The 24,850-nt window shown below is 46.8% G+C and overlaps 1 protein-coding gene across 3 annotated transcripts; it reads right to left on the reverse strand.

The window, feature by feature from the left end:
- Positions 1–6,819: 6,819 nt before the first annotated feature.
- LOC105371216 (uncharacterized) lies at positions 6,820–24,605 on the reverse strand. 3 transcript variants are annotated; one of them, XR_922043.3, is made up of 4 exons: positions 24,267–24,362; positions 20,725–20,870; positions 8,669–8,777; positions 6,820–7,921 (listed from the first exon to the last, which is right to left on the reverse strand). XR_922043.3 is itself a non-coding variant. In XM_047438050.1 (2 exons), exon 2 carries the CDS (start codon positions 18,058–18,060, stop codon positions 17,239–17,241), a length of 822 nt encoding a protein of 273 aa, XP_047294006.1. In that variant the 5' UTR covers positions 18,061–20,810; positions 24,267–24,605; the 3' UTR covers positions 14,381–17,238. The 3 variants fall into 3 exon arrangements, 2 of the variants coding, with proteins under 2 accessions (XP_047294006.1, XP_047293999.1); XM_047438050.1 differs by lacking the exons at positions 6,820–7,921; positions 8,669–8,777 and having other exon boundaries at positions 14,381–20,810; positions 24,267–24,605; XM_047438043.1 differs by lacking the exons at positions 6,820–7,921; positions 8,669–8,777 and having other exon boundaries at positions 14,381–20,870; positions 24,267–24,454.
- Positions 24,606–24,850: the final 245 nt, after the last annotated feature.

A 24,850-nucleotide genomic window follows, 5' to 3' on the forward strand; every position in this document is an offset into this window, starting at 1 on the left:
AAAGGCAGTCCAGAGAGAGGATCCAGCAAACCTACTGGGAATCCTCCACCTTCTCCCCTCCTCTTCCTACCAACAGCCAGAGCAACCTGGGAGGCTGAGCTGAAGATGGAAGAGCCTGTCTGCGTGTCTCCCCAGTGACTAGTGAGGTGGCTTTTCCTCCCGAAGCTGGACCTTACATCAGTGAGAAATAAACTTCCATTGTGCTAAGCCACCAAAGTCTGAAATGTTACAGCAGCTAGCAGTACCTTAACCCATTGAGTACAAAGATAAATAACACTCAGTCACTATCTGAAAATCAAGTGGAATGCCTGTCTCTGGGCTACCTGCACTTTTGTTTGTTTGTTTGTTTGTTTGTTTGTTTGTTTGTTTGTTTGTTTTTGAGATGCAGTCTCACTCTGTTACCCAGGCTGGAGTGCAGTGGCACAATCATCTCAGCTCACTGTAACCTCTGCCTCCTGAGTTCAAGCGATTCTCCTGCCTCAGCCTCCCGAGTAGCTGGGATTACAGGCGCCTGCCACCATGCCCGGCTAATTTCTGTATTTTTAGTAGAGATGTGGTTTCACCATGTTGGTTAGGCTGGTCTCAACTCCTGACCTGGTGATCCACCCCTTGGCCTCCCAAAGTGCTGGGATTACAGGCATGAGCCACCACACCTGGCCTGCATTTTTTTAAGAAGCAATGAAATGAAAGTTTCTGGAGGCTAAAGTCAGCCCCCTTTATTGTAATCTCAAGACAATGTTAAAACTCACTGAGAGCCTGTAATCCCAGCACTTTGGGAGGTCGAGGCAGATCACTTGAGGTCAGGAGTTCGAGACTAGCCTGGCCAACATGGTGAAACCCCGTCTCTACTAAAAATACAAAAAATAGCTGGTGTGGTGGTGCACACCTGTAATCCCAGCTACTTGGGAGGCTGAGGCAGGAGAATCTCTTGAACCCAGGAGGCAGAGGTTGCAGTGAGCCAAGATTGTGCCACCGGACTCCAACCTGGATGACAGAGACTCCATCTCAATAAATACATAAATAAAACTGAGAGATTTACCCACACTGTGTTCTGCCTTCCACCAGTGAGATTTTTTTCAAAAGTCTGAGCCACACGGGGCCCCCAATTTCTTACGACTGACCCCTGCTCCATGATGGGAAGATACAAGGGGTCAGAAATGGTGCTCTGGTGGTGCCCAGGCCTGCTGTTTTCACCACATTTGGTGCATGTTACCCCTGCCCACACTGTGTCCTGAGAACTGTGTGGCATGGCTCAATCAGTGTAAAAGCTGGAAACGTCCTGACCAGGCAGCTGCTTCCCAGTGATGATTCAGTACCACGCAGATGGACAGGGAGGCATGGTGCCCTCGGGCATGGGCTCCCTTCCTTTTTTTCTTTTTTTTTTTTTAATATTTTAAGTTCTAGGGTACATGTGCACAACATGCAGGTTTGTTACATATGTATATATGTGCCATGGTGGTGTGCTGCACCCATTAATTCGTCATCTACATTAGGTATTTCTTTTAATGCTATCCCTCCCCCTTCCCCCCACCCCATGACAGGCCCCGGTGTGTGATGTTCCCCATCCTGTGTCCAAGTGTTCTCATTGTTCAATTCCCACCTATGAGTGAGAACATGCAGTGTTTGGTTTTCTGTCCTTGCGACAGTTTGCTCAGAATTATGGTTTCCAGTTTCATCCATGTCCCTACAAACGACATGAACTCATCCTTTTTATGGCTGCATAGTATTCCATGGTGTACATGTGCCATATTTTCTTAATCCAGTCTATCATTGATGGACATTTGGGTTGGTTCCAAGTCTTTGCTATTGTGAATAGTGCCGCCATAATCATACATGTGTATGTGTCTTTATAGTAGAATTATTTATAGTCCTTTGGGCATATACCCAGTAATGGGATCGCTGGGTCAAATGGTATTTCTAGTTCTAGATCCTTGAGGAATCACCACACGGTTTTCGACAATGGTTGAACTAGTTTACACTCCCACCAACAGTGTAAAAGCATTCCTATTTCTCCACATCTTCTCCAGCACCTGTTGTTTCCTTTTTAATGATCACATGAGCTCCCTTCTTCCAGTGAAGTTGACAGGATTTCACAAGGCCAGAGGCCCACTGGCACTCTCAACTACCAGAGATAATAGAAGGTCCCAAGGGGCAATTAGCACATTTTGCCCCCAGTCACCTTTGGTGGTAGCTATGTAATCCCAGTATTTTTAAGAACAAAAGAGTTAGACAGTGTATTCACTTCTTTTTTTTTTTTTTTTTTTTTTTTTTTTTTGAGACAGAATCTTACTCTTATCACCCAGGCGGGAGTGCAGTGGTGTGATCTTGGCTCACTGCAACCTCTGTCTCCTGGGTTCCAGTGATTCTCCTGATTCAGTCTCCCGAGTAGCTGGGATTACAGGCACACACCACCATGCCTGGATAATTTTTTGTATTGTTAGTAGAGATGGGATTTCACCATGTTGGCCAGGTTGGTCTTGAGCTCCTGACCTCATGATCCACCCACCTCGGCCTCCCAAAGTGCTGGGATTACAGGCATGAGTCACTGTGCACAGCCAAGTGGGTGGGTCTAACAAAGTGCCACTGACGGGGTGGCTTCAAAACAATGAAAATTTATTCTCTCACAGTTTGGGAGGCCAGAAGTCCAAAATCTAGACGTCAGAAGAGCCAAGTTCCCTCTGAAGGCTCCAATGGGGGGTCATCGCCAGCCTCTTCCAGTTTCTGCTGGTTGCTGGCAACCCCTAGCATTCCTTGGCTTGTGGCTGTATCACTCCAATCTTTGCCTCTGTTGTGACTTGACCATCTTTCCTTTGTATCTGTGTCTCTTTTCCTCTTCTTATAAAGACACCAGTCATAATGGGTTAAGGGCCCAACCTACTCCAGTATGACTTCATTGTAATTTACATCTTAATTAAATCTACAAAGACTCCATTTCCAAATAGGGCCACAATCAGAGGAACCAGGGGTTAAGATTTCAACAGATCTTCTGGTGAGCAAAAATTTAATCTATAACACACAAATGATAGTCAAGATATGGAATTAACCTGTGCATCCATCAATGGATGAATGAATGGACAAAGAAAATGTGTGTATGTATACACATTGTATACATACACAACAGAATATTATTCAACCTTAAAAAGAAGGAAATGGCCGGGCACAATGGCTCACGCTTGTAAACCCAACACTTTGGGAGGCCATGGTGGGTGGACTGCTTGTGCCCAGGAGTTCAAGACCAACTGGGCAACATGGCAAAACCTCAACTCTACAAAAAAATAAAAATAAAAAGGCTGAGTGTGGTGGCTCATGCCTGTAATCCCAGCACTTTGGGAGGCTGAGGCAGTTGGATCACCTGAGGTCAGGAATTTGAGACCAGCCTGACCAACATGGAGAAACCCCTTCTCTACTAAAAATGCCTGTAATCTCAACTACTCAGGAGGCTGAGGCAGGATAATCACTTGAACCCAGGAGGCAGAGGTTGTGGGTGAGACAAGATCACACCATTGCACTCCAGCCTGGGCAACAAGAGTGAAACTCTCTCTCAAAAAAAAAAAAAAATCAGCTAAACCCAGTGGTGTGCACCTGTAGTCCCAGCTACTTGGGAGGCTGAGGTAGGAGGATCATTTGAGCCTGGGAGGTCCAGGTTTCAGTGAGCTGAGATTGTGCCACTGCACTCCAGCCTTGGTGACAGAGCCAGACCCTGTCTCAAAAAAGAAAAAAAAGGAAATCCTGACATTTGTAACAGTATGGATATGAACCTGGAAGATACTATGTTAAGTGACATAAGCCAAGCACAGAAAGACAAATGTCACATGATCTCATTTATATGTAGATCTAAAAAAGCTGAGGTCATATAGGTAGAGAGTAGAAGAGTGGCTACCAGGGGCTGGGCAGCAGGTGGAATTTGTGGGTTGGGAGATGTTGGTCAAAGGGTACAAAATTTCATTTAAGTAAGAAGAGTAAGTTCAAGAGATCTATTGTACAGCTTAGTAATTATAGTTAATAACAATTTATAGCATTTTAAAAATTGTGAAGAGTAGATTTTAAGAAATCTCACCACAAAAAATAAGTATGCAAAGTAATGCATATATTAATGAACTCCATCTAGCCATTCCACATGTACCCTTGGACTTCAAAACTTGGAAAAAATGAATTGAAAATATAAACTTTATGTCTCAACATAAGCTCCATCAAGTTCAAGACACTTGTATAAGTCATGCTACAGCCATTTAGCCCATCCTTAAGGAACTGAAGGTCCTGAGAATTTAACCATATCAATGCAGTCTTTTACACATTAACTGAAAAGGGTATCCTTTACAGATTAAGATTACGAAACAAAAAGAAGTTAGGAGGAGCCAAATCAGGACTGTAATGATTTCCCATCAAAATTCTCCCAAAATTGCCCTTGATGACAGGAATAACCAGAAGCATTGTCATGGTGGAGGAGGACTCTGCTGAAATTTTCCCAAGAATTTTCTGCTAAAGCTTTGGGTAACTTTCTCAAAACCCTCTCATAATAAGCAGATGTTACCATTCTTTGGTCCTCCTGAAAGTCAACAAGGGAAGTGCCTTGAGCCCCAAAATACTGTTGCTATGAGTTGTGCTCTTGACTGGTCTGCTTTTGCTTTGACTGACCCACTTCCACTTCTTGGTAGCCATTGCTTTGATTGTGCTTTGTCTTCAGGATAGTACTACGAAATCCATGTTTCATAACTTGTTGCAACTTTTCGAACAAATGCTTCAGGATCTTGATCCCACTGTTTAAATTTCCATTGAAAGCTCTGCTGTTGTTTGCAACTGATCTGGGCACAACAGTTTTGGCACCCATCAAGTGCAAAGTTGGCTTTCAGTCAGAATTGTGTAACCTGAACCAATTTGACGTCTATGACACTGTCTATTGTTTCTGCTATTGTTAACTGCTATTAATCATCAGTCCTCTTTGATTAGGGCATAAACAAGATGAATTTTTTCCTCAAAGATTCGTGTGTAGGGTCTCTTACTGAGGGCTTCCTCTTCAACATCATCTCATACCTTCTTAAAACAAGTTATTCATTTGTAAGCTGTTGATTTCTTTGGGGCATTGTTCCCATAAACTTTTCATGAAGCATTAGTGATTTTACCATTTTTCACCCAAGCTTCATAATAAATTGATGTTTGTTCTTGCTTCGATTTTAGCAGAATTAATGTTGCACTGATGTGGTCTCTTTTCAAACTGATGTCTTATCCTTCTTAGTGTCTCAAACTAGATCCTGTTCAGACATGTTATGACAAGTTAAAGACTCTGTCTCAAAAAGTCTTTTTTTAAGTAATAGGACAATCTTCATACCATCCTAATTGGCCAGTTATTAGCTCTTGGGAAACTGGGTTTTAACTAATTGTTTTAAACACATGCCAGCCTTAGATTTCTATCCATGTTGTAAACATACTCTTCAAGAAAAAAAAAAAAGATATAAAATGTGTGAAGGCTGACACTGGGGCACTCTCCACCCAAGCTCCCTCCAGGGAGTGTGATCCAAATGCCCTCCCTTCCCGGGCTGCTGCCTCGGTTGTGCCGGACCCTCACATCACTGCCTGATTCATCACTGCCTGATTCGGCTGCCTGATTGTGGCCTTTGCCTGGCCTTGCTCCCTATTTTAAATGACACTCTCGCCACACCTTCACATACCCATGACAACAAACTGGGTTTACTTCTGTCTACTCATCATGCCTGACTTTCCCCTTTGCAAACATCATGACGGGATGTGATATTCCTGATCCTAGATTCTGCTTTCCCTTTCTTTCCCTCTCCATTACCATTTATTGAGTGGACACCTACTGTGTCAGGCACTGTAATTGGTGTTTTACAAACATTATTACTATTACCCACAACCCTACAAGACAGATATTGTTCCCACTTCACAGCTGAAAAAAGATTACAGGCTGACTACCCCTTCTCTGAAATGCTTGGGACCAGAAGTGTTTTGGATTTTGGAATACTTGCATTGTATTCCAAAACCCGAAATGCTCCAATGAGCATTTCCTTTGAGTGCCATATCAGCAATCAAAAAGTTTCAGATTTTGAAATTAGGGATACTAAACCTGTACTACTGAAGGTCTTGCAGCTAGTAAATGGCAGGGTATGATCTGAACCAGACACAAGTGGTGATTAAGTCAAATCATTACTAGAAGTCACCTTACAGAGAAAACAATCAACATGAGGTACATTCTGTCACAATGCTTATGCTGTTTAGATTTAATGTAGATATATTTGCATTTGAAAGTGCAAATACTGTCTTTATAAAGTCTTTGAAGAACAGAGTTAGCCCTTGTTATTTCTATGGTTAATTCAAAGTGCTAATAGCTAAAAACCAGAAGTCATTCCAAAGTTTGCATGAACAAAACTCACAAGAAAGTTATAAAAATATTTTATTTAAATGGTACAGAAAAAAATATGTATACTTAAAAATGATTAAAACTTCACATTAGGAAATGCTAAAAACCCAGTAATTTACACAATGATAAAATCTAAAGTGACGGGAAAACATAAAATATTTTCATTTGGTCCTGTCACCTAACAAAACGATCATAAATATGAGATTATAGTAATTACTAAAGCTGGTTAAAGGCACATGACAACGTAATTCCTTTATACATATCCAGTCATTTTATACAAGGAACTGCTATCCCTTAAATGGAAGAGTGAACTATTTGTTTAAAATATTAAGAGTGCATCATGTACCTATAATGAAACCACTTTCTCCAAAGACTCAAACAGATTAACATTGCAAAATAGTATTTCTGTATCACTGACTTCTGAAAATTTTAATAATTTAAGAATATGCAAGTGAAATATAATTTATTCTGGTTTCAAAAATAGTTATACAAAGTCACAATTTTCCCCAGGAAACCATTCACTTCATAGCTGCAAAAACACACTGTAGCTTTTCTGTTAGGGTCTGTCATGCTTTCAGCTAGCTGGATGTTTAACCATTCACTTCAAATTTACGTGTCCAGCCATGCACGGTGGCGTGGGCCTGTAGTCCCAACTACTTTGAAGGCTGAGGCAGGAGGATCACTTGATCCCAGGAGTTCAAAGCCAGCCTGGGCAACATAGAAGACCCTATCTCTTAAAAAAAAAAAAAGTATATATCCTTAAATCTGAAAGAAAACCAGCATTTATGTAACAAGTAAAACATTCTATCTTAAGCTATTGCATTTAACACTAAAAAGCATAGTTCACTCTGTGATCTACAACGTTGTCTGAGTCTCCATTACAATTGTAAATTCATGTCAGGGTAAGAGCTCCCAAACATCTGTAAAAACTCAAAATTCAAGAGTCAAAGAAGGGGCTGAGCACATGAGAAGGGGAGAGATGGGTGACAGGGTCAGGTGAGGAAGTGTTCTGAGATGTGTAGGATTCCTCCGGGCCCAAAGCAGCTTGTGGCACCACATGCATACAGGAACGAAGGGCCTCCTGTGAGGGCTCCCAGTGGTTCCAAGACACAGCAAGGTGCCTGAAAGAGGCTGGAGACATTGGCGTGGGCATGGAGGTGCTAGCAACTATTTTCAGACTGCTAACAATGAGACTGTGTCCATTTCTTCTTTGTACAGTTACCATTGACCTTCCTTTAAAATCCCACAGGGAGAACATGCTGTTTTTAGCAGAAATGTCAGTTTTCATTAACTCCTTGAAAATTTAGCGTATTAACTTTCATTTCCATGAGCTTCAATTTCCACACCTGTCAACTGCTGTATAAAGCAGGTTTCCTGCAAGTTCTGATGTAAGTGACCTGACAGGAGGCACTATCTTTGTCCTTCTCAACTTGCCTCTAAGCATCTGGAGTGAGTATTCTCAATATGCACTTATTTAATAACAGAGTTATCCGACACTCAGAAAACAGCCTCCACTGTGTAAGGCAGCAGATCTCAGGATGGGGTGATCTGTAGGGAGGCAGAAATTCTATAAATAACACCAAACAAAAGCTGATTGTGTCATCCAACACATTTTTATGAGGAAGTCAGAATAATTAGAAGATGGTAGAATTTTTTTTCCCAGTTGGGTAAAATTGTCCATTCTTCCTGTATTCCCATTTCTTAAGAATGATCTAGCCAACAGTCATTGAATATAAGCTGACACAAATTAATATAATTTCAACATAAAATGGTCTAATGTGTGAATTTAACTATATTGGAAGGTACAAATCCTGTCTTTATGAGGTCTTTGAAAGGCAGGGTACCTTCTCTAAAAAGTAGTCACTTAGAACCAACTTTTACAAAAGAAAGAGTCTCAGCCCCCAACCCCTGCCAGCCTGGGCAAAATAAGGAGACTCTGTTTCTACAAAAAAAATTTTAAAAATTAGCCAAGCGTGGTAGCACATGTTTGTAATACCAGCTCCTTGGGAAGCTAAGGTGGGAGGATCGCTTGAGCCCCCAGGTGGTCAAGGCTGCAGTGAGCGGTGATCATGCCACTGTACTCCAGCCTGGACAACAGAGTGAGACACTGTCTCAAAAAAAAGGAGTCTATCTCAGAGTTCAACGAATGGATAATTCTAGTGTGGACAACTCTGGTGTAAACATGACTGAAAATAATTCACAAATAGTCTGTTACAGCTCCATCCACTGAAAATTGTCATAAAAGACATTTTTCAAATGAGTTCATTTTTAGAAAAACCATTCCAGATATCTTACCTTCGGAAATCATCCAAGGAGTGTGATAAACATTACAACCCCCATAAACTGGGTAAACAACAACAATGGAGTGAAAAACGACCACACATGCCATAAAGCAATGTTGAAGCTGAAAAGAACAAGACATAAACAGTTGACAACTCAAATATGCATCAATATATTTTATTCTAGAATCCAGATTTAAAGTATTCAATGTAGAAAAGTTCATCCAGTCAGCAACCTTCTCCATGTATCATATTTCTCAGCTATGTGACTTAGCCAATGCTGGAAAGAAAACTCTAGATATACTTACACAAGTATCACAATTTCTTCAAGAAGGCCCTGGAACTGGAACCACTAAAGGTCTCCTAATAGGAGTTGACATGGCTTAATAGAAACTGCAGTCTCTTAGTTTCTGCACTTGAACAAGAATTTAAATGGCTACAGCCCATTTTTATGACATCACACACTAAACTATCATGGTAAAAAAGACCAAAGTATTTTCTCTTAAAAACAGAATGAAAACAGTTATCACTTATAAGCTGCTATTCTATATTTCATTGAGAAGAACACTATTCCTGTCATCAAAGTAAAATTAAAACACTTTCTAAGTGTAAAGATTGTTAGTGACTGAAATTTCTAAGAACAGAATAGGAAAAACTATATTCAAATAAGTTCAGATGGTTATTGGTTTTAACATATAATATTTTGATAAGTATGAGTATTAAATAACTATAATCACACTGTCTAAAAAATTAATATTTCTGGAGATGATCTTAGCCTTATGGGAAAAAGTAAAAAAACATATCTGTATGCCCCCACATACAGGTTAACAATAACCACATCACACTGTCAAACACCCTTGAACTTCAACTACAGAAAATAAGTCATAGAAAGAATATGTATAAAGGTATATGGTTCTTCCAAAATAAAAATTCAATTAGGCCGGGGGTGGTGGTGCATGCCTGTAATCCAGCACTTTGGGAGGCCAACACAAGCAGATGGCTTGAGGCCAGGAGTTTGAGACCTGCCTGAGCAGCATGGCGAAACCCCATCTATACAAAAAATATTAAAAATAGCCAGATGTGGTGGCACATGCCTGTGGTCCCAACTACTCGGGAGGCTGAGTGAGGTAGGAGGATCACTTAAGCCTGGGAAGTCGAGGCTTCAGTGAGCTGTGATCATGCCACTGCACTCCGGCCTGGGTGACACAGTGAGACCCTGTCTCCAAAAAAAAAAAAAAAAAAAAAAAAAATCCAATTGATATAAAGAAAGAAAAAACTAGAGAGCTACGCACAACATAGGAAAAGTAGTTTTCTTTCTGGTTGGATCAGAGGATATATTTCCTTTGTGTTTTTCTGTAATTTACAGATTTTTTTTTCCTCAGTGAGCAAGTATTACTTTTATAAACTGAAAAAAAACCTGTATTTTTCATCGAGTATTTAATTAACTTATGAAGAAGGTTATTCATTGTGGCATTGTTTGAGTATAAATATAACGAAGTCCAACAACAGAAGACAGGTTAAATAAATCATGTTATGTCCATGCTGTGAAAACTATGCAACTGTTTAAAAAAATGAGACACATCTATATGTACCATTATGGAAGAATCCCAAACTATAAGGATCCACTGAAAAACAAAAGGAAAAAAAGATGAACAACCACTTTGGAAAGCAGTTTGGCATGATTTACTGAAGTCAAAGGTATGTACATCCAACAATTTTACCCCTTGGGGTGTATATATATATATACACACACACACACACACACACACACATATACGTACATCTCTACACCCAACAGAAATGTGTTCACTGTGCTACAAGAGCCATGTACAAGAATGCTCTTTATAGCATCCTTCATAGTAACCCCAAACTGAAAAAAATCTAAACACAACCAACAGTGGAAAAGAAAACTGGGATTCAATTAAACAATGGAATGCTAAAGAGCAATGAAGATGAGTCACTGTTCCCGGCTACAATATGAAACAACTGCACACAATGCTGCACACAGCCAGCTCAATGTGAAGGAATACACCCTGTATGAATCCATTTCTATAAAGTTCAAAAGCACAGCTGAAACAAAAATAGAATATCTAATGGAAGCAAAGCAAGTAGTTACCATGAAGGTCAGGGCAGTATTTACCGGTGGCAGGAGGGATGGTGCAGTAACTGGGAGGGAGAATGAAGGGGGTTCCCAATGTACTGGCTCAGTTTACACCAATGCTCACTTCATGAAAATTCATTCATTTCAGTTTTTTCCACTTTTCTATATGTATTGTACGTCATAATAAAATAGACTTAAAAAGCAAAATGCAGAATATGTACAGAATGTCACCATCTGTGCTTTAAATAACTAGATCCATAAATAGAAGGAGAAAGAGATACTAATGAAAAGGGAACCAGAGAGCATGAATGACCAGGAGACTATTTTTCTGTTTTAACTTTTTTACTTTCGAAGTTTGGACCAAGTATATCACTATCTGATCAGGAGGTGGGGGGCGTTGTCAGCCCAAGCAGCTGCCACCGTGAGCAGTGGACACAGGACCAGCTTCTGGGGATGATCCTGTCCTCTCCTAGCACAGCCCCGTGCATGGACAGGGCATCCATGCCATCCGTGTCACCCAGGGCAGGTCACTAAGCCTCCCGCAGCCCATTTCCCCGAGTCGCCCAGGCGCGGTGGAGCACATGCAGCACAGTTGTTTTAGGAATTGGATGACTCACTGAGCTCCTGACAAGTAGTAGGCTCGGCACGTGGCTGTGGCACTTTTTTCTAACTGCCTGGGTTCCATCTCAACTCCCAGAGAGTGAACATCCCGCCTCTCATCTCAGGACTGGTGCTCTCTGAAGCATTAAGTAGGAAATTGAGAGTAGTAGCAAGTGAGACTTAGGGGGCAGGTAGGCAGAAATCAGTGATGGCATAGCCGCGCCACCATGACCATCCTGGCCATTGTCTCCTGTGTCTCCTGCTCCTCGAGGTCTTCAAAGTCTCATGCTGCCTTCTCCAGCAGCTGCTCTCTGTGATGGGAGGGTGGGCACAGGGTGGGTTTGTGGGTGATTCTGCTGAAGCCAGGGAGATGACGTCTGTCCAAGGACCCTCAGCCTGGAGCCCAGGCTCCAGGAAGCTCTGTGGGGGACAGCTGACGTCACTGGGCATCTCCTTTCTGTCTGCTCTGCTCACAGAAACCTGCAGGACACTGCCCATAAGGTGAAGTGAGCAAAGAGGCCAGGCCAGTCCTTCCCAGCCCCATGGAAGCCAGTTCAGCAGGACCCTACATGGATGGGCTTCTGCAACTGTGAGCAAAGGGGGCCCATCAGGCTGTGCCCAGCCCCTAGGACACACAAGGGAAGGGCTTCTTCCCAATACCTGCCACCTGCTGCCTCTGCACAGCCGTGGTGTGCACACTGCTGCAGGGAGCAGGCACCCTCATCCCTGTGGCCCATCTCCCCCTTCTTGTCCTCATTCTGAGGCCATACAAAACTGGCCTGCAGCATCCTCACCCTCAACCTTGCCCTGCTGGGAAAACTTAGGCCCTCAACTAAACTCGGGCCCCTGGACGCACTCGCTCGGCCGCAGTTCTCAATCTTCCCTCTGCCTGGAAGGCCCTGTCGTGTGTTTCACACTTGCTAAGCAGAGTCCCCTCTGAACTCAGCCCCCTGGATCCAGCCCAGCCCTCCTGGATCCACTTGCCAGAGCAGCCCCGGACCCCGCCAGCCCCTCCCACTGACTCCAGTGCAGGTCAGTGAAGGTGACTATGACAGCTCTGGTAATCCTGGAAGAACCCCCAGGATTGAACACAGCTCTTGGGCTCTGATTACAGCCAATTACCATAATGGAGAGAATATCTGGATTCTCCCCTAATTTCCTCTCCTCTTAAAATTTTCAATTAAGAGCCTAATCTTGATGGAAAATGGCTGCTTTCTGGAGTACTCTCCGCAGTGCTGATTCCTCATTGCTAAGTGCTTTTTCTAGACAGATAGAGGCTCTCGATGATTCCAGATAAAATCAGAGCAAAGGAGCTTACCCAAAGAAAGGAGGAGAGCAGAGCAGCAATAGGCTATGCCCCGGAGCCCTCCCCACTGCTGGAGACACCAGGTGGGTGAGGGGTCTCTTGGGCCCTTCCAGCCTGCAGAGCTGCTGAGAGTCAGGCCTGGCTGCCAACAAAGCAGCTGAAGTCTTGAGAAAACTTCCTGATTGCATTAGCGAGGTTGCAACACCAGGACATAATCAAATCTCCCTGGAGGACGTGGCTTCAGGAAGGGCTGCTACAAGCCAGTGGCAGAACAAGGGCAACCAGGGTCAGACACGGTGGAAGGAGGGAAGTCCCAGAGCCGAGCATGGGTGGACATCAGAGGGGTGTGGGCTGCACCATCTGGGTGCAGGGGCCAGCAGGCAGTGCGGGTCCACCCAGCCCAGGGCCAGCCTTTCCCAGCAGTCGCGTGCAGAAACCTGGCACACGTCATGGGGCAGCGGTCCCATATCATAGGCCCTCCTGGTGTTAGCAGTCAGGAGGGTGCCTAGAAAAGCCTCCCACAGCCACAGGGACAGCAGGATCTGAGCCCACCCTCCACACCAGAAGCCTGCCCAGCACCGTAGGCAGGGCCCGGGTGCCCTGCTCAGGAATGAGCTCTGCTTCCAGCTTGGCCATCCTAGTTCCACCCTGTCTGTAACTTAGCCGACCAGGAAGATGGCTGTGATGACCACAGAAAATCCTGACACAGAGCTGGCATGAAGGAGCTGTGCCTGTGGGAGCTTCAGAGTCCTCAGGCCAGGCTGGCCCTGGCTCTGCCACCTCTTGGCTGGAATGCCTTCAGGCACCTACTGAGCCTCTCAGGGGCTCAGCATCCTCATCTGTGGGACACGGATAATAATAGGGTTGTTTTGAGAGTAAAAGCACAAAACACAGAGCCTGGCTGGAGAAAGCACAGGTAGCTGAAGTCAGCCAAGGCTGAGTTAAGTGTTCTTCTTAGAAAAGCGGACAGGCCATTCCCTGAAGGCATCAGTGCGGGCAGGAGGGAACCTGCACTTTGCAGTTCCAACACCTCAGGACACAATTCCTGCTAACCTGACCCACAAAAGACCAAAGGACACACCCAAGATCCTGGACCAACGTCCCACAAGGATGCCTCCTGGTTTCTTCTCTAAGAATACGTCTTAAAATGTTCCCCAGGAAGCTAACTCAATATTCCTAATGTATGGACCATGGAAAGAAAACAAGTGTCTCAGTAGGTTTGTTCAACAAATGTGCAAATGCAGAGACGAACAAAGATGCCCAAAGTCAAGGAGCAGCTCAGTCGCCTCCGACATGCTCGGGGGCCACAACCACTTCCAACCTCTGCCCTGTTCACACTTTCCTCCACCCAGATTCCCCTCTTGCCCTGGCACTCCAGGAATTGTTTGATGTCCTGGAAGCTCCCTTTCTCTGTTCCACAGCCCCTGAGGCTGGTACCTCCCTGCATGCGTGTCCACCTCACCCACTGAGTTCCAGGAGCAGGCGTCTATCCTGCTCGCCCTGACTCAGCAGGGAGGGCTGAGCTCTGGAGCCTGAGTGCACCCAGACCTGCCCCATGGCCTCCTGTGCCTCTGTGTCCTCCTCACCCTCGACTCACCAAGGAGCCCTGAGGACGTGAGAACTGGAACATGCCCAAGACCCACATCGGGGCCTGGCACACACCAAGCGCCTAGTGAACGCTTGATGACTGAGGACAGCATCGCTTCTTCTAAGAGGGAAAAAAAGGAAAGTCAACCAGAGACAATTTGTAAAAGATGGCTTTTGACTGAGGCCTTGAAGGATGGGCAAGGATGGGCAAGGGGAGGGGGGACTCAAAGTGCAGGATGAGAAGGCTCTAGGTGCCTGAGTGCCTCTGCATGTGAACATGCATGTGCATGTGTGTGCATGTGTGTGTGCATGAGACTTGCAGCCTTGCATGTGTGCGTGCATATGCATATGTGTGTTCATATGCGCATGCATGTGTGTGTGCCCTAGTCCAGACAGGGTTCTGAGTGCACTGTGGGGGACAGATGATTTCACACTCCGCCCTGAGTCTGAAATCAGTGGGACAGATGACCTTGAAGAAGGCCTTATGGCTCACTTAGTGTGAGCCAGACTCCATAGAGACAGTGACGGCAGGACACATGCATGGGGGTCCACCTTCCCAGAGCTGGAGCCCACATAGCTCCAGGACCTCAAGGGAAGCCCAGGGTCTGAGGGGCCCAGGAGGCCCATCCATGTGATGGACCCAAGGAGACTTTGGTGGCTTCTCTGTTAAGATTTGAAGGGGGCCAGGTGTGGTGGCTCACGCCTGTAATCCTAGCACTTTGGGAGGCTGCAGCAGGGGGATCACGAGGTCAGGAGTTCAAGACCAGCCTGGCCAACATAGTGAAACCTCATCTCTACTAAAAATACAAAAATAAAAATAAAAAATTAGCCGGGTGTGGTGGTGGGTGCCTGTAGTCCCAGCAGTTTGGGAGGCTGAGGCAGGAGAATCGCTTGAACCCAGGAGGCAGAGATTGCAGTGAGCTGAGATTGTACCACTGCACTGCAGCCTGGGAGACAGAGCAGGACTCTGTCTCAAAAAAAAAAAAAAAAAAAGATTTGAAGGGAGCCCAGGGGGCAGGACTGGGTGGGCACAGGATGGAGACAGTGACACCCTTGGTCTTGGGTGGCCCCTGCCAGCCCCAGCATATCCTCAGCAGATAGGGTGACAACAGCGCCTCTACCTCTAGTGGGAGGCGCAAGAGAAATTCACGCGATGCACTTGCCTGGGCTTGGTGAGTGGAAAGCTCCCCACTGACTCGAGGGCTGGTGGTGAGGATGGAGAGGGAGGTGGAGATGGAGGCGACAGCATGGGCAGAGCAAGAGCACAGCCGTGGAAGGGAGGTCCTCCCAGCTAGCCTTTGGGAGGCCCATGGCCAGTCTCGGGGCAGGAGGAAAGAATGTGAACCAAAAGCGGAACGTCCAGCCAGGGGAGGCCCCAGCAATGACTGTATCAGGGCTGAGTGTGATCACAGGAAAAGTCACCTAAGGACTGAAATCCAGTGGAGTCAAGACTACGTGGAAGCCTATCTCTCCATGATGGCAACTTTGGAAGAACGTGTGACCTTGTGGAAGTGCACAGAAGGCACTGCTGGCCTGAATGGGTCCTCGGGCTGCGGTCTCGGGGCCGGCTTCTCTCCCTTCCCCAGACCTGCTGTGGCTCCATCCCCTCTCTCCTGCATCCTGGGATTGCCTCCAATTAACTACCTGCTTACAAGCCTTTTCTTTATTTTCTTTTTGCCTTCTTTTCTTTACATGTAAAACATGAGTCCATCTGGAGCTTATTTTAAAGCACAGTATGAGGACTGACATTGACCTGTTTTTTTAAATGAAATAACTAGTTGTCCCAACCCTGCTTGTTGGATAACACTGCTCTGTTTCAGGAGTACCCCCACTGTCATACACCCGTGGGTCCATACCCCTGGGCTCTCCATCTGGGCACTCCCCTGCCTGTGGCACCTCCTTCCTGAGGGCCGGCCTCACCCAGGGCCCAGCTGCCCTCTCCATGGCCTGTGTCTTCCTTTCCTGATGCCTCAGATTTCCCCCATTCTCTGGCACTCTTTCCATCCTCCTGGCCTCACTCTGCACCTCCCCTGAGGTGCAGGACTGCCCTGCCCCAGCCCCCAGCTTCCTCACTCCCAAAGCATTGTGCCACTGAAGCACGAGCTCCAGAGTGCACCTGGATGGCAGCTTCTCTCCTGGCCAACAAACGCCTGGTGCTGGCTGCCCTCCCAGCATCTCCCCTCAACTCCTCAGCTCCACCCCAGGGCCTTAACACACACATGCATAGCACACACACATACAAACATATGCACACACAGACATGCACACAAATGTACATACGGACTTACACAGACACACACAAATGTGCACACATTCGTGCATACACAGATGTGTTCATGCAAACACACACGTGCACGCTCACGGGCACGTACACATGTGTAGGTTATGCTAAGAAATCCATTTTGTGTAGAAGACACTCAGGCTCAAATATGTGTCCAAAGTCACACAGCTATGGAGCGGCAGAACTCAGGTCTCTAGCGCACACAGCCCCGACTTACCGCAGTTCCACTTAACAGTTTTCAACTTTATAGTGATGCAAAAGCCATCCACAGTCAGCAGAAACCCTCGTGTGAGTCCCACACGGCCAGTTTTTCACTTTCAGTACAGCAGTCAATGATTACATGAGGTATCCGACACTTGACTACAAAACAGGCTTCGTGTTGATGCTTCTGCCCACCGCAGGCTCAGGGCAGTGTTCTCAGCAGGCCAAGGTGGGCCCCCCCACGCTGTGCTATTCGGTAGTCAGGTGGACTCAGTCATTTTCCACTCGCAGCGGCCTTATTGGGCCGCAGCCAGGGGTAAGTTGAGCAGTGTCTGTACTTTTAGCTCCACCCTGGGTATTTTTAAGTGGCAGATTTACAACAAAAAATAAAAATAAAAATGAAAAAATACAGCGTTCCAAATAGTAGGGGCATAAAAGGAGAGAATGCACGTTGTGGACAGCCCATGCCTGGGAGCATAAGCACTTCAGGGCATCACCAGGCGTGACTGGCTATTGTTCCTGCTCTTCCTGGCAGCAGCGGCCTGGGCCTGAGAGGGATCGCCCTGGCCACAGCTGTAGGCAAGGCTGCTGGGAGCCGCCACGCTCCGCGATAGCGAGTCTGCGGCGCCACCTCGTGGGTGCTGCGTGGAACTCCCCGTGGTGAGGGCGGGGAAGGCCGGGTCCCCACAAAGCCGGAGCCCGAGCACAGCGGTGGGAGCTCGCCCCAGGGCATCCCATAGCACCCGGAGACGGGGGCTGGTCCCCCAAAACCCTCAGGGGTGAGAGGAAGGAGGTCCCCAGCCTGCTGAGAGCTGTCCTCTGAGCACGCACTCGCGCACACTCACACGTGCATGTGTGCATCCTCGGGCACCCTGATGCGTTCACATGCACGTACACGCGTGTGCACACGCACAGTCTTTCACAAGCGTATGACGCGTTCACACAAGAGTGTGACGCGTTCACACGCACGCACACTCCCTCTCCCTCGAGCCTGGAAGGCGCACTGGGCTCATAGGGGTGGAAACCTCTACCGCGGCAGAGGCATGGCGCCAGGGCCAGGATGCTCGCTTTTATTTCAGACGTGAAAACTGAGGCCCGAAAGAGACAGCCAGTGTCCAACCCTGTCCAACGTCTCTGCTGATTGTGCCTCCTGTGTGCGGCCGGGGCCGGTGTGAGGGCTGCGGGCCCACCGCACGCCTGGCCCGCCCCAGGGCCTCGAGCCACTTCCTCAGGAGCTGCTGGCAGCTGCAGCGACAGCGCGCCCAGAGCCCGAGGGTCCCATGGAGCCAGGCTTCCCAGCACACAGGCGCGGTGGAGCCTCGGGGTGGGCATACACCCCGCGAGCTCGCGGGGGCTGGGCACTGCGGGTCCTCGGGTGGGGACTCTGGAGTTCAGTCTTGAAGGACACAGTCACTGAGGGTCAGGGAACCAGGAGGGTAGGGAGAGTAGGGAGGGGTGCCTAGGCCTAGTGGGAGAAGCATGTGAAAGTTCCCTAAGAGGGCTGGGGGTGAACAAGCGCTCGGCCCGGCCTCTCCCGGTAGACTGCTCTGGTGCCCTGAAGCCTCCCTTCTCCAAGGCCCCATGGACGCCCCCAGAGGGGTGACGCCCTCGCCCACGCTGAGCTCTGAGTGCTGCACGAGAACTCCCAGAGCCGTGTGCACACGCGCTCCCCGTGTTATAACTGGCATTAAGTGCACTCACATTGTCGCATATCCCCTACCACCGTCCATCTCCAGAACGTCTTCATCTTCCCAAAAGGAAACCAGACCCATTGAACACCAACTCCCTCCTTTTGTTAACCATTGCTCTTTCTGTATTTGAATTTGCCCATTCTGGGCCCCTCATGTAAGTGAAATCGCAATGTATTTGTCCTTTTGTGGCTGGCTTATTCCATCTAGCACAATGTCCTCAAGGTTCATGTGTGTTGGCACACCTCTCAGAATTTCCCTCCTGGCTGGGTGATATTATAGGCTCACGCCTATTATCCTAGCTGTTAGGGAGGCAGAGGTAGGAAGATAGCTTGAACCCAGGAGTTCGAGACCTGCCTGGGCAATATAGCGAGACTGCATTTTCCACAAAAAGAAAGAAAAAAAAGAATCTCCTTCCTGGTAAAGGTTCAGTAACAGTCTACTGTATGCATAACCACATTTCGCTTGCCCATCCACTCACCCATAGACCCTCAGAATGCTTCTACCTTTTGACTCTTGTGAATCACGCTGCTTTGAACATGGGTGTGCAAATATCTGTGAGAGTGCCTGCTCTCAAAAAAATCCACATTCTTGGCACCATGAAGAATCACCTCTCACAGACACCAGCGAAAACCAAGTCTGTCTGAGAGCAGAGGGTGAGGAGGGGAAAGCCGGGCTGCGGATCACAGTGGGCGGAGGAAAGCCCACCCTTGTGTTCCCATGTGTGGGAGGAGAGAGGAGAGATGCCCTCTAGTGAAGGAACTCTTGTAGCAGCCAGCTCCATTCCTGCTTGGCCTGCGGAGGGCCAGCTCAGGAGCCCAGACCAGGAAGAAGTCAAATGACCGACAAGATCCATCAGGAAGCAGAAGTGTGCTGTGTCTCATCGGCAACAACAAACAGAGCTAGGACCAGCCACCCACCCCCCAACCCAGGGGAAATGCATCCACCACACAACTACCACCGCTGCGCTCATGACACTCTCAGAGACAGGCACGGGAGCTCCTGGCAAGGCACAACCAGGGCAAGTGACAGTTTGCCAGTCCTGGGCAAGCAGACACTTATCCTCTCTCCAGTCCCCAATCCCACCAGCCTGCACAAGCAGAGAAACATCCTGCATAAATTAAAAGATCATCTGGATCATCAAAAGATCTGAGCAAACAAAACGACTGAGACAAAAAACAAACAAAACAAAACAAACAAAAAACAGAACAACAACAACAGAAGAACACTCATTTTTACAGAGAGATTTGAGCCCATCCCAACAGAGTACAATGCTCTTTCCAAGCTCATGGATGGCGTTTGGGAAAATTTAGCTGTGCTAAAGGAGCAGGAAGCCTCAGCCCCTTTCCCAAGAATTGCTGTTACACAAATCACATTCTCTCACCAGGGTGCAACAAAATTAGAAACATGCAATAACAAAGACCATGTTAAAAGTGCATTTTGGGGCCGGGCATGGTGGCTCATGCCTGTAATCGCAGCACTTTGAGAGGCTGAAGCGGGTGGATCACCCCAGGTCAGGAGATCGAGACCAGCCTGGGCAACATGACGAAACCCTGTCTCTACTAAAAATACAAAAAATTAGCCAGGCATAGTGGCAAAAGCCTGTAAACCCGGCTACTAGGGAGGCTGAGGCAACAAAATCACCTAAACTTAGGAGGCAGAGGTTGCAGTGAGATGAGATTGTGCTACTGCACTCCAGCCTGAGCGACAGAGTGAAACTCTGTCTCAAAAAAGAAGAAAAAGTGTGTTTTGGAAACAAAGTTAGTTTTCACAATGAAAATTATAAAATGCCTGGAACTCAATAGCAATAGGGTATTACATATTAAAATTATGAAACTCAACAAAATTGACATTTAGGGAGAAATTTATATCCTCAGATTAATTTGTCAGAAACAGGATAAAAGGAGAAAGCTGATGATAATTTGAGTAAAAGAGAAAATAAAAACTAAAATGAAAAACTTTTCAGAAACAAACTACAATAAGTGTGTGACCTATCAAAATCTCTGGATGTGTCCAAAGCAGTTCTCAGGGGAAACGTTATAGCTGGAAGTGTTTGTTAATATGCTTCAACAGAAGACATATAAAATTATATAAACTAAGTAAACATACAAGAAGCTTTTTTAAGGGAAACAAGAAATAAATGTATTTAATTTTAAAACAGCCATAATAAAAGTAGACTTGATAAATAAAACCCAAAACCACTTCTTTGAAAAGACCATTAAAAAAACCTCTGAGAAGTCAAGCAAAAGAGAAAGAAAAGGCACAAATTTTAAAATGTTAGATTTAGAAAAATGACATAATAACCAACGTGGAGAAGCTGCTTCAAATCAAGGAGACGGGAGGCCAGCTTCATTCCATGGGAGGCCAGCTTCATTCCAGTAGGTTCTGTTTCACCTGGATGAAATGGAAGATTTTCTTGGAATGTATAAATTGGCTTAGCAGGAGGCAGAAAACCTGAATAAACAGAACAAACAGAAATGGTAAGCAGGTGCTCGAGGGGCTCCATCAGCCTCCAGGGATGGGCTGCTGTGTTAGGGAGGGCCAGAGCACAGGGGAAGTGGAGTGTAATTCTTTCTACAAGATTAGCAAGCTGAACTTGAATCTCACACACGCACACACACCACAGTGACATGGAAAGAATCCACAGGACACTTATGAGAGGTAAAAATAGAAAGTTTCTGCACAAAACAATCGTGTGTGTTTAAAAGATACCATGTGGCAGAAAATAGTGATCTATGTTTGCCAGTGTCTAGGAAGAAACCTTGAAGGCGCACGCCAGACTGGCGGCTGGGTTGGCTAGGGAGGAGACGATGGGGTGGGAGCAGCTAAGGACGACACACACTCTTTTAACTCTGTTCCTGTGTTGTCGGGACGTTTACAAACTGAAGATATATATTTTTAATTAATTATTTTTTTTTTAATTTTACTTTAAGTTCTGGGATACATGTTCAGAACATGTAGGTTTATTACATAGGTATACATGTGCCATGGTGGTTTGCTGCACCTATCAATTTGTCATCTAGGTTTTAAGCCCTGCATGCATTAGGTATTTGTCATAATGCTCTCCTTTCCCTTGCCTCCAACCCCTGGATAGAACCTGGTGTGTGATGTTCCCCTCCCTGTGTCTACGTGTTCTCATTGTTCAGCTCCCACTTATGAGTGAGAACATGAGGTACAAACTGCAGATAGTTATACATTACTTTAAAGTAATTAAGTTAAACTAAACTAAATGTAAGCCAACTACATGTAAATAAATAAAACCAATAATTAATAGCAAGATAAAAGTAATTAATACTTAAATAATTACTAATTTATTTCTCAGCTAAAAATTAAAAATTTAGAAAATGTGGAAATGTGTTTCATAATAGGAGGATATTTAAAATGAAAGGGCATTTCTGTAGTCAAATGGGTAGGAGACTCACCCAAACAAGACACAACCTCAAAACCAAAAGGAAAACTATCAGGTTTGATTATACGAATACTGAAAACCTCTGAATACATGAAAGGCAAATTCTATATCCCATGAAACTACCCTTCAGAAATGAAGAGAGAAATAAAGACATTCTCAGAGGAAGAGAATATAGGAATTTGTCACTGGTCAATTTAGAAATGCTAAAAAGTGGCTACAGAAATATGTTCTGTCATTTCCACAATATAAAAAATTAAAACAAAAAAATCAAAATAAAAAAATGGCTATAGAAAGTTCTTATGCAGAAGGGATGAATATGGGACTATGGGAGGAGGGACAAAGGAAAGACGAGAAATGTGGATACATATGCGAGACAATCCACAGTTCTTAAAATCACATTTGACGACTGAAACAAAAACTATACCACCACCTAATACTCAAGCCAGTGATTTATACAAGTGGAAAAGGTAAAGAGACATAAATGCAAGGCAGGTTTCCACACTTTGAAGTGGTAAATACTGGTACCAGTAGACTACTATATTACAATACACATATTGTAACATCCAGAGCAAACACTTTAAGACTATACAAAGAGATACACGCAACAACATTATACAGAAATAGATCAAGATGGAGGGAAAGAAAAAGGAAACAAAAAAGCAAATAATAAAAACATCAGACATAAGCAATTATGTAACAATAAGCACCTTAAATGTAAATGGTCTAAATAAACCAAAAGACAGATTGATGGAGAGCCTATAATAAACACATGGCCCAACTAAATGCTGTTCATAAGAAACTTCAAACTCACTTAAGGACCTAAGTAGGTTGAAAGTAAAAGAATGGAGAAAGATATCCTGTGAAATCATTAATTTTTTAAGGAAGCAGGAGTGAATATATTAATATCTCATGAAGTAGACTTCAAGCAAAATAATTTACCAGAGCTGGAGAGGGTCTTCGCTGAATTTTAAGATCTAAAATTTCCTATGCTGCCTTGACATGTTTGAGCCTCACAGGGCCCCAAAGACCTAGCCGTGGGTTTTCCTGTTTCTACCAGACACCCCCTACCCCGCCACCCAACAGGAAAGGCTCCCCACCTGGCTAGTTCTTTTATCAGCCAGAACAGTTGCACCTCAGCCTAAGAAGTTTCACTTCACCTGTCTGCCAGCCCATGAATTTATTCAAACAAGCCAATTGCATTCCCCCTCGGGAACCATTGGTCATCGTGTGCTCTTGTTACTACCAAGCCCGCCTGCTTCCTCAGCCCGCAGCCCTCACTCCACTACAGAGTGCGGTGCCCATCTGACCCTGTGTGGCATGCAGTGTCCTCCTCTGAGCTGTGGGTATATGTGACTAAAACACTGCTGTCAATCGCATCCATCCACGCCAGGTGTCGTGTTCAGCCATCTCCTACACTTTAGGGCAGGGACCCCTCCTTCACCAATGGGGTGAAAAGAGGAAGTGACCATAACAACTGCTTAATGACAAAAGGATTAACCCACCAAGAAGACATCTACTTCAACATCCTCCTCTTAGCAACTGTTAAAACTAGGCAGAGGCCGGGCACAGTGGCTCATGCCTGTAATCCCAGAACTCTGGGAGGCAAAAACAAAGGATAGCTTGAGGCCAGGAGTTCGAGCCTGGGCAACATAGCAAGGCCTCATCTCTCCAAAAAATTTTAAATTTAGCCAGGTGTGGCGGCACACACCTATAGTACCAGCTACTCAGGAGGTTAAGCCAGGGGAAGTACTTGACCCTAGGAAGTCAAGGCTGCAGTGAGTCATGTTCGTGCCACCGCACTCTAGTGTAAGTGACAGAGTGAAACTAGGCACAAAAGGAGCAAGGATTTACAAAAGATCTGAACAGTCAACCAGCAAAATCTGACATCCGTATAATACCCCACTCCCCAACAGCAAAACACACACATTTTTAAAGCCAATAGAAATCTACCAAGATGAGGTACACTTGGGGCAATAAAAGAACTCACAGCAAATCTCGCTGTGTGCCCCTCTGCACCAGCGCCGTGCCCCTCTCTGCACCTTCTTTTCTCACCATGGGGAAGCGTTTGGGGGCCTCTTGAGGGACACCCTAGATGCTTCTACTCAGAGCCCCCAAAGCCGGGGAGCCTCCACTCCTCTGTCTGCAGCCTCCCCTGTCGGTTCTCCGCTACCCAGGGTTCAGTGGCCTGGGGGTGACGGAGGGGGTCGCCTCTGCCAAGGCCCCTCCCGGCGCCTCCCTGGCTCATCCAGCCCACCTTCCTCCCACGCTGGCTCACGCAAAGTGCTCCGGTCACCAGGAGCCCTTCCTGACCAGCCCCAGCCCCTTCTTGGCCTTCGCCCACCCGGCCTCCCCTGGAGCCCTGACCTGGGTGCCGGGCCTGCTGGGTCCAGAGCCCACCCCGCCCTGAACAACCCCGAGTCTCAGCCACCCTCGGTTCTTACCCTTTCACAGCTGGGGAGTGGAGCCTGGGCCTGCGCCTCTCCGCGCCAGAGCCGGCGCCAGCGCCTCTCCGCGCCTGCGCCGCCGCTGCGCGCCTCGCCGCCGCTGTCCGCCTCTCCGCCGCTGTCCGTCTCTCCGCCGCGCCGCCGCTGTCCGCCTCTCCGCCGCTGTCCGCCTCTCCGCCGCTGTCCGTCTCTCCGCCGCGCCGCCGCTGTCCGCCTCTCCGCCGCTGTCCGCCTCTCCGCCGCGCCGCCGCTGTCCGCCTCTCCGCCTCTGTCCGCCTCTCCGCCGCTGTCCGTCTCTCCGCCGCGCCGCCGCTGTCCGCCTCTCCGCCGCTGTCCGCCTCTCCGCCGCGCCGCCGCTATCCGCCTCTCCGCCGCTGTCCGCCTCTCCGCCGCTGTCCGTCTCTCCGCCGCGCCGCCGCTGTCCGCCTCTCCGCCGCTGTCCGCCTCTCCGCCGCGCCGCCGCTGTCCGCCTCTCCGCCTCTGTCCGCCTCTCCGCCGCCGTCCGTCTCTCCGCCGCGCCGCCGCTGTCCGCCTCTCCGCCGCCGTCCGCCTCTCCGCCGCGCCGCCGCTGGCCGCCTCTC

The sequence above is a fragment of the Homo sapiens genome, chromosome 1, assembly GCF_000001405.40.
Source record: "Homo sapiens chromosome 1, GRCh38.p14 Primary Assembly".
Taxonomy (NCBI): domain Eukaryota; kingdom Metazoa; phylum Chordata; class Mammalia; order Primates; family Hominidae; genus Homo; species Homo sapiens.